We start from the raw sequence: 10,754 nt of genomic DNA, 5'->3' as shown, positions 1-10,754 counted from the left end.
GAGGCTCAGAAAGCTTGTGTACCTTGCCTGATGCCATAGAGCTAGTAAATGGCAGAGGTGGATTTTGATTAGAGAGTGTTACAGCAAACAAAACACCTTTGCAACATCCTGCAAGGTGGACAATGTGTTTCCCTTGATGCATGGATTCTGTAAGGTATAAATACCTTCAGCTCTTCCGTCCTTCTCTCTCTCTTGGACTACAGATGCATCCATGGAGGTGCAGAAACTTTAAGTTACACTGAGCTTTCACCCTCATCTTGGGAAACTGAAGCAGTGCAGCAGCTCCTTTGTGTGTCGTGCTACTTACTGAGGGAAGGAATTAGCCATGGTGTTCCCTCATCTCTAGAAACATCAGCAACCACATCCTTGACAGTGCAGGTCTCTCTCCAAACCCCATTCTCTATGCACAGCCCACAACAATGCCAGAGACTACCACAGAGCCACCCGGTTTCTTTCTTTAAGAGCCACTAACAACACTTCCATTCTGCATACCTGTCTCATAGAAAATGTCCTGACAGCTTTACAACTCTGACTTCTTTATGGGGCAGTGGAAGAGTGAGGGATGGGAGAAAATCAATACCAGGCAATGAAGGGCACAGGAGCATGCTTCCTGCCTGTGCTCTCTGACCCCCTGCCCCACCCGCTGCCCTGGGCCCAGGCGGAGCTAACAGTACTTAGATTTAAAAGTGTGCTGTCCAAGACCCGGAGGGCATCAAGAGTGGAGGTGACCATGTCCAGGAAGACTATAGGGAAAGGTCATGACCAGGAATTCATTTGCTCAGGACCTCCAGGCTGCTGGGAAGGGGATGGGGTCTGGGTTGGGGCGATGAAAAAAAGAGTATTTGGAATTAAATCATTGGCAGAGAGCTGTGGGCCCCTTCCTTCTGAAGCAGCACTCAGAATGAAGTAAGGATGTTAAAGGAAAAACAGTATCCCCTGGGGCCAGAGTGACGGGGCAGCCAGGTCATCAAGAAGAGATGAGAGGAATGTGAATCACAGTGACAAAGTCAGGCTGTTCAACTTTGGAGAGCTGGGAGGTGTCCTTAATAAGGAAGCTAGAGTTTCCTGCCCACATCAGGAAGGGACTGTTCTTGGGCTCCAGCTCTACCTGGGTCCTCTGGAGACAGGATCCTAAGGGCTACGGTAATTAATGTGACCCTGTAGCAGAAGCTGGCTTCTCCCAGTGAGCCCCATGGGAGAGATACCAGATTGACAGGTAGTTGGGAGAATAGTAAATAGTACCATGTGACCCCTTCTTAAATGGAATTCCCATGAGAAGAAGGTAATTTCCATCATGGCGTTATGAAAAATTCTCAAGCAGCTCTATGGCTGTGTGTTAAATGAATTAAATGACTGTTAAATGGAATTGCCTTTTGCAGCTGTTATTACACAGTGCAAGTTCCCTGCCAAAAGGGCTGCACCAACTTACCTTGTCACAGGAAAAAGAACCCCCTTCCCTGTGGACTCGGGTTTGCTCATGTAAAAATTGTTGCCTAAATTAATACCATTTCGATTTTAATTTGCATTTAATTGCTCATTAGTGAAGTTAAATGCTAGTTTTCCAGATTTGTGTTCCCCTTTCCTTTTGCATTCCCTTTCAGGTGAATCTATAACCTTATTATGAAAATGAGAGGGGGCGGTTCCAAGATGGCCGAATAGGAACAGCTCCAGTCTACAGCTCCCAGCATGAGTGATGCAGAAGACAGGTGATTTCTGCATTTCCAACTGAGGTACTGGGTTCATCTCACAGGGCCTTGTCAGACAGTGGGTGCAGGACAGTGGGTGCAGCTCACCGAGTGTGAGCTGAAGCAGGGCGAGACATCACCTCACCCGGGAAGCACAAGGGGTCAGGGAATTCCCTTTCCTAGCCAAGGGAAACTGTGACAGACAGCACCTGGAAAATCAGGTCACTCCCACCCTAATACCACTTTTCCAATGGTCTTAGCAAATGGAACACCAGGAGATTATATTCCGTGCCTGGCATGGAGGGTCCCATGCCCACGGAGCCTTGCTCATTGCTAGAACAGCAGTCTGAAATCCAACTGCAAGGCGGTAGCAAGGCTGGGGGAGGGGCGCCCACGATTGCTGAGGCTTGAGTAGGTAAACAAAGCGGCAGGGAAGCTCGAACTGGGTGGAGCCCACCGCAGCTCAAGGAGGCCTGCCTGCCTCTGTAGACTCCACCTCTGGGGGCAGGGCATAGCTGAAAAAAAGGCAGCAGAAACCTCTGCAGACATAAATGTCCCTGTCTGCCAGCTTTGAAGAGACTAGTGGTTCTCCCAGCACGGAGTTTGAGATCTGACAACGGACAGACTGCCTTCTCAAGTGGGTCCCTGACCCCCGAGTAGCCTAACTGGAAGGCATGCCCCAGTAGGGGCAGACTGACACCTCACATGGCTCGGCACCCCTCTGAGATGAAGATTCCAGAGGAAGGATCAGACAGCAACATTTGCTGTTCAGCAATATTCGGTGTTCTGCAGCCTCTGCTGCTGATACCCAGGCAAACAGGGTCTGGAGTGGACCTCCAGCAAACTCCAACAGACCTGCAGCTGAGGGTCCTAACAGTTAGGAAAACTAACAAAACAGAAAGGACATCCACACCAAAACCCCGTCTGTACGTCACCATCATCAAAGACCAAAGATAGATAAAACCACAAAGATGGGAAAAAACAGACCAGAAAATCTGAAAATTATAAAAATCAGAGTGCCTCTCCCCCTCCAAAGAAACACAGCTCCTCACCAGCAACAGAACAAAGCTGGATGGAGAATGACTTTGACGAGTTGAGAGAAGAAGGCTTCAGATGATCAAACTTCTCCAAGCTGAAGGAGGAAGTTAGAACCCAACGCAAAGAAGCCAAAAACCTTGAAAAAAGATTAGACAAATGGCTAACTAGAATAACCAGTGTAGAGAAGTCCTTAAATGACCTGATAGAGCTGAAAATCATGGCATGAGAACTACGTGACGAATGCACAAGCTTCAGTAGCCGATTCAATCAACTGGAAGAAAGGGTATCAATGATGGAAGATCAAATGAATGAAATGAAGCAAGAAGAGAAGTTTAGAGAAAAAAGAGTAAAAAGAAATGAACAAAGCCTCCAAGAAATATGGGACTATGTGAAAAGACCAAATCTACGTCTGATTGGTGTACCTGAAAGTGACGGGGAGAATGGAACCAAGTTGGAAAACACTCTGCAGGATATTATCCAGGAGAACTTCCCCAATCTAGCAAGGCAGGCCAACATTCACATTCAGGAAATACAGAGAACGCCACAAAGATACTCCTCGAGAAGAGCAACTCCAAGACACGTAATTGTCAGATTCACCAAAGATGAAATGAAGGAAAAAATGTTAAGGGCAACCAGAGAGAAAGGTCGGGTTACCCACAAAGGGAAGCCCATCAGACTAACAGCAGATCTCTCAGCAGAAACTCTACAAGCCAGAAGAGAGTGGGGGCCAATATTCAAAATTCTTAAAGAAAATAATTTTCAACCCAGAATTTCCTATCTGGCCAAACTAAGCTTCATAAGTGAAGGAGAAATAAAATCCTTTACAGACAAGCAAATGCTGAGAGATTTTGTCACCACCAGGCCTGCCATAAAAGAGCTCCTGAAGGAAGCACTAAACAAGGAAAGGAACAACCCGTACCAGCCACTGCAAAAACATGCCAAATTGTAAAGACCATTGAGGCTAGGAAGAAACCGCATCAACTAACGAGGAAAATAACCAGCCAACATCATAATGACAGGATCAAATTCATATATAACAATATTAACATTAAATGTAAATGGGCTAAATGCTCCAATTAAAAGACACAGACAGGCAAATTGGATAAAGAGTCAAGACCCATCAGTGTGCTGTATTCAGGAGACCCGTCTCACATGCAGAGACACACATAGGCTCAAAATAAAGGGATGGAGGAAGATCTACCAAGCAAATGGAAAACAAAAAAAGGCAGGGGTTGCAACCCTAGTCTCTGATAAAACAGACTTTAAACCAACAAAGATCAAAAGAGACAAAGAAGGCCATTACATAATGGTAAAGGGATCAATTCAACCAGAAGAGCTAACTATCCTAAAGATATATGCACCCAATACAGGAGGACCCAGATTCATAAAGCAAGTCCTTAGAGACCCACAAAGAGACTTAGACTCCCACACAATAATAATGGGAGACTTTAACAGCCCACTGTCAACATTAGACAGATCAACGAGACAGAAAGTTAACAAGGATATCCAGGAATTGAACTCAGCTCTGCACTAAGCGGACCTAATAGACATCTACAGAACTCTCCACCCCAAATCAACAGAATATACATTCTTCTCAGCACCACATTGCACTTGTTTCAAAATTGACCATAGTTGGAAGTAAAGCACTCCTCAGCAAATGTAGAAGAATAGAAATTATAACAAACTGTCTCTCAGACCATAGTGCAATCAAACTAGAACTCAGGATTAAGAAACTCACTCAAAACCACTCAACTACATGGAAACTGAACAACCTGCTCCTGAATGACTACTGGGTACCTAACAAAATGAAGGCAGAAATAAAGGTGTTCTTTGAAACTAATGAGAACTGCTGGGCGTGGTGGCTCATGCCTGTAATCCCAGTACTTTGGGAGGCCAAGGTGGGTGGATCACGAGGTCAGAAGATCGAGACCATCCTGGCTAACACGGTGAAACCCTATCTCTACTAAAAATACAAAAAATGAGCCGGGCGTGATGGCGGGCGCCTATAGTCCCAGCTACTCGGGAGGCTGAGGCAGGAGAATGGCGGGAACCCGGGAGGCGGAGCTTGCAGTGAGCCGAGATGGCGCCACTGCACTCCATCCTGGGCAACAGAGCAAGACTTTGCCTCAGAAAAAAAAAAAAAAAAAAAAAAAAAACAAAGAAACTAATGAGAACAAATATACAACATACCAGAATCTCTGGGACAAATTCAAAGCAGTGTGTAGAGGGAAATTTATAGCACTAAATGCCCACAAGAGAAAGCAGGAAAGATCTAAAATTGACACCCTAACATCACAATTAAAAGAACTAGAGAAGTAAGAGCAAACACATTCAAAAGCTAGCAGAAGGCAAGAAATAACAAAGATCAGAGCAGAACTGAAGGAGACAGAGACACAAAAAACCCTTCAAAAAACCAATGAATCCAGGAGCTGGTTTTTTGAAAAGATCAACAAAATTGATAGACTGCTAGCAAGACTAATAAAGAAGAAAAGAGAGAAGAATCAAATAGATGCAATAAAAAATGATAAAGGGGATATCACCACCAATCCCACAGAAATACAAACTGCCATCAGAGAATAATATAAACACCTCTATGCAAATAAACTAGAAAATCTAGAAGAAATGGATAAATTCCTGGACACATACACCCTCCCAAGACTAAACCAGAAGGAAGTTGAATCCCTGAATAGACCAATAACAGGATCTGAAATTGAGGCAATAATTAATAGTCTACCAACCAAAAAAAGTCCAGGACCAGAGGGATTCACAGCCAAATTCCACCAGACATACAAGGAGGAGCTGGTACCATTCCTTCTGAAACTATTCCAATCAACAGAAAAAGAGGGAATCCTCTCTAACTCATTTTATGAGGCCAGCATCATCCTGATACCAAAGTCTGGCAGAGACACAGCAAAAAAGAGAATTTTAGACCAATATCCCTGATGAACATCGATGCAAAAATCCTCAATAAAATACTGGCAAACTGAATCCAGCAGCACATCAAAAAGCTTATCCACCATGATCAAGTGGGCTTCATCCCTGGGATGCAAGGCTGGTTCAACATACACAAATCAATAAACATAATCCAGCATATAAACAGAACCAAAGACAAAAAACACATGATTATCTCAATAGATGCAGAAAAGGCCTTCGAAAAAATTCAACAGTACTTCATGCCAAAAACTCTCAATAAATTAGGTATTGATGGGATGTATCTCAAAATAATAAGAGCTACTTATGACAAACCCACAGCCAGTATCATACTGAATGGGCAAAAACTGGAAGCATTCCCTTTGAAAACTGGTGCAAGACAAGGATGCCCTCTCTCACCACTCCTATTCAACATAGTGTTGGAAATTCTGGCCAGGGCATTCAGGCAGGAGAAAGAAATAAAGGTATTCAATTAGGAAAAGAGGAAGTCAAATTGTTCCTGTTTGCAGATGACATGATTGTATATTTAGAAAACCCCGTCGTCTCAGCTCAAAATCTCCTTAAGCTGATAAGCAACTTCAGCAAAGTCTCAGGATACAAAATCAATGTGCAAAAATCACAAGCATTCTTATACACCAATAACAGACAAACAGAGAGTCAAATCATGAGTGAACTCCCATTCACAATTGCTTCAAAGAAAATAAAATACCTAGGAATCCAACTTACGAGGGATGTGAAGGACCTCTTCAAGGAGAACTACAAATCACTGCTCAATGAAATAAAAGAGGATACAAACAAATAGAAGAACATTCCATGCTCATGTATAGGAAGAATCAATATCGTGAAAATGGCCATAATGCCCAAAGCAATTTATAGATTCAATGCCATCCCCATCAAGCTACCAATGACTTTCTTCACGGAATTGGAAAAAACTACTTTAAAGTTCATATGGAACCAAAAAAGAGCTCGCATTGCCAAGTCAATCCTAAGCCAAAAGAACAAAGCTGGAGGCATTACAGTACCTGACTTCAAACTATACTACAAGGCTACGGTAACCAAAACAGCATGGTACTGGTACCAAAACAGAGCTATGGACCAATGGAACAGAACAGAGCCCTCAGAAATAATACCACACATGTACAACCATCTGACCTTTGACAAACCTGACAAAAACAGGAAGTGGGGAAAGGATTTCCTATTTAATAAATGGTGCTGGGAAAACTGGCTAGCCATAGGTAGAAAGCCGAAACTGGATCCCTTCCTTGCACCTCATACAAAAATTAATTCAAGATGGATTAAAGACTTACATGTTAGACCTAAAACCATAAAAACCCTAGAAGAAAACCTAGGCAATTCCATTCAAGACATAGGCATGGGCAAGGACTTCGTGTCTAAAACACCAAAAGCAATGGAAACAGAAGCCAAAATTGACAAATGGGATCTAATTAAACTAAAGAGCTTCTGCACAGCAAAAGAAACTACCATCAGAGTGAACAGGCAACCTACAGAACGGGAGAAAATTTTTGCAATCTACTCATCTGACAAAGGGCTAATATCCAGAATCTACAAAGAACTCAAACAAATTTACAAGAAAAAAACAAACAACCCCATCAAAAAGTGGGCAAAGGATATGAACAGACACTTCTCAAAAGAAGACATTTATCCAGCCAAAAGACACATGAAAAAATGCTCATCATCACTGGCCATCACAGAAATGCAAATCAAAACCACAATGAGATACCATCTCACACCAGTTAGAATGGCAATCATTAAAAAGTCAGGAAACAAGAGGTGCTGGAGAGTATGTGGAGAAATAGGAACACTTTTACACTGTTGGTGGGACTGTAAACTAGTTCAACCATTGTGGAAGACAGTGTGGCGATTCCTCAAGGATCTAGAACTAGAAATACCATTTGACCCAGCCATCCCATTACTGGGTATATACCCAAAGGATTAAAATCATGCTGCTATAAAGACACATGCACACAAATGTTTATTACGGCCTATTCACAATAGCAGAGACTTGGAACCAACCCAAATGCCCATCAATGATAGACTGGATTAAGAAAATGTTGCACATATACACCATGGAATACTATGCAGCCATAAAAAGGATGAGTTTATGTCCTTTGTAGGGACATGGATGAAGCTGGAAACCACCATTCTCAGCAAACTATCAGAAGGACAAAAAATCCAAACACTGCATGTTCTCACTCATAGGTGGGAATTGAACGATGAGAACACATGGATACAGGAAGGGGAACATCACACACTGGGGCCTGTCGTGGGGTGGGGGGAGGGTGAAGGGGGGAGAGATAGCATTAGGAGATATACCTAATGTAAATGACGAGTTAATGGGTGCAGCACGCCAACATGGCACATGTATACATGTGTAACAAACCTGCACGTTGTGCACATGTATCCTAGAACTTAAAGTATAATATAAAAAAAAAAAAGAAAGAAAACGAGAAATTCCCTTGAGACAAGGATGAAAAGGAAGGAGAAAAAGGAGAGAGAAAAGAGAAAAAAGGACAAATTAGAGAGATGGAAAAACGCTTCCACTAAAACTAAGCAGGCTGGAGTGTCAGAAAATACACAGAGTCTGGAGTAAAGTTCCCCTACCCACTTCAAAGTACAACTCCACCACTTGATAGTTAGACAATTTGGACAAGTCACTTAATCTTATCTGCAAAATGGAGAAAATCATAGTTTCTGATTCATAGGGTTATTACAAGGATTAAATGAGCCAATGTAGGAAAAGTACCTAGTTTAGTGCCTAATAATTAGGTACAAAATAATCATAGTAATCTGTAATTATTATTACACACGCTTAATAATAGCTATAATATAATAATTATAAATATATTATGATTATAATATCTTCATTGTTGCTATTATTATGATGATTATCTAAGCACTAACCTAGGCAATTTCCATAGGTATTGGAAACTGACCGGTTTCAGACACTCCACTCTAGTCACCACCCTGCTATTTTATTACTATAAAAATATTTGTAGTATAAATATGAATATATTTTAAAGTGTTATATTTGTAGTAATAAAGCAGCAGGATGGTGACTAGAGTGGAGTGTCTGAAACTTGTCATGCCTCGAGGTGAGTCTAGGGCTGCTATATACTACCTGTATTATTTAAACACGCAGGGGTTCCATTTTCTCATTGATTAAAGATGGGATAAAAATAACTGACTAGCAGAGTGTATGTAAAGATTAACTAGCATAGACAAAAGCCTTTAGCACAGTGCCTGGCAAATAGAAGTTGAAATAGTAGTAGTTGCAATAGCAACTAATTTTCAGTGAGTGTTATTATGCCAGGCCATGGGCTAAACACTTAACATATATCTCCTTTTAATCTTTACAAACGCTTATGAGGAAGCTGTTATACACGTTTTATAGGCAAGGCAACTAAGGCTTAGATGAAACTACATGACTTGTGCTAGCTCACACACCTTGTAAGTTAGGATCTGAATCCAAAACTCTCTGGCTCTTGGTACCTACTAGCTTTCACAAGCTGCTTCTTCTTTTAAATTATTATATTACTTCATTCCATCTTTATTTTTCCCACTTGTCATGCAGAATTACTGTTGGTCATGTCTGTGTCTGTTTTCCTCTGTAGACTGAAATCCTGGAGCTTATTCTTATCCATATTCCCATGATACACGCCCTTCTTCCCCAGCATACTCTCTCCAGTCCACACCCCTAAGCACATGGCAAACCTTTGTTGAGGTACGTGCTCTTCCTGGGCCAACTCCCACCCTGCACCAGTCCTCCTCCGCTTAGCCTGGGCTCTAGTCTCCCCTACAGAGTGTTCTGCTCCCATCTTGTACCCACAAACAATGTCACCTGCAGCAGCAGCTGCACCAGCTGCAGCCCCCTCTTCTGGTGCTAAGCATCAACCTCCCATTGCTGTTCCTTGGACTCTGAGGTGCCCCCCAGGCTTCTGTGAACAAAACTTTGGCCTCTATCCCTATCTTCTTCTCACCCGTCCATTGATTTCTCCACACCTCCAGCCAACTTCCAGGGTAGAGGGGAAGAGGTGGTCTTAATGCTGTGGCGAACTATGCCCTCATCCCTCTACTCCTGAGGTCATACAACACAACCTGGACCACCTATTATATGGCTATGGCAAAGCTACTAACCCCAGGGATATGCCAATGAAACGAAGACCCTATGAATCTTGCAGAGGAGGTCTGGCACACAGGTGGGAAAGTCAGCTAGAAAGAACCTGTTCATCTAATCCTACTGATTGACATTTTATATCCAGATCCAGTGGTTACATAGCCTTTATACCTTTATACGTTATCCATCTCAGTAGCATTTGTTGGTCACCAGCATTGTGCAGGGCTCTAGGACAACAGTGATTAAAAAACAAAAACAAAACAAAACAAAAAAACCAATTCTTGTTCTCAGAGAGCTCTCACTCATCTGGTCCATATTCAAATTGATTCAAGTTCACTGTGGCACTAATCATCCTCTTAACTATAATTATACTTTACTTATGGTTTTTACTTTTTTATTTTTATTATTTTTTTTTTGAGGCCAGGTCTCACTCACATTGTGCAGTGGCGCTATCTTGGCTTACTGCAGCCTCCAACTCACAGGCTCAGGTGATTGCTCCTATCTTAGCCTCCCGAGTAGCTGGGATTACAGGCTTGTGCCCCTACACCCGGCTAGCTTTTGTATTTTTAGTAGAGATGGGGTTTCACCATGTTGCCCAGGCTGGTCTTGAACTCCTGGGCTTAAGTGATTCTCCTGCATCTGCCTCCCAAAGTGCTGGGATTACGGGCATGAGCCACCCTGCCTGGCCTAGGTTTTTATTTTTAAAAATCCAATAGAGAGCCAGGCCATCTGCATGGATTACCTTTCATGGCATTTAGCTCAGTGCCATGGGCCTGAAGGCAATTAATATTGAACTTTCTGGAAGTTCCAGACATTTTCTTTCAGTCATCCTAGTAAGTGTCTTAATGTGATAATAGGTTAATTGATTTTTGTATATTAATCACCCATCAGACGTTTATTGTGAAATTCAATTTCAGCTCCACCAACCACATGACCTTGGGCAGGTTGCTTCATGTCTGTGAACC

General features: G+C 42.5%; 1 annotated feature.

Moving 5' to 3' along the window:
- Window positions 2,055–2,556: an enhancer, noted in NCBI's record as "H3K4me1 hESC enhancer chr11:13960135-13960636 (GRCh37/hg19 assembly coordinates)". NCBI's record gives its function as "activates a minimal SCP1, AML or CMV promoter by ChIP-STARR-seq in naive H9 embryonic stem cells {active_cell/tissue: H9 hESC(naive)}" and the evidence as "EXISTENCE:reporter gene assay evidence [ECO:0000049][PMID:30033119]".

The sequence above is a fragment of the Homo sapiens genome, chromosome 11, assembly GCF_000001405.40.
Source record: "Homo sapiens chromosome 11, GRCh38.p14 Primary Assembly".
Lineage (NCBI taxonomy): Eukaryota > Metazoa > Chordata > Mammalia > Primates > Hominidae > Homo > Homo sapiens.
Note: the sequence above shows the minus strand (reverse complement) of the source record. Positions and strands in the feature narration are given on the sequence as shown.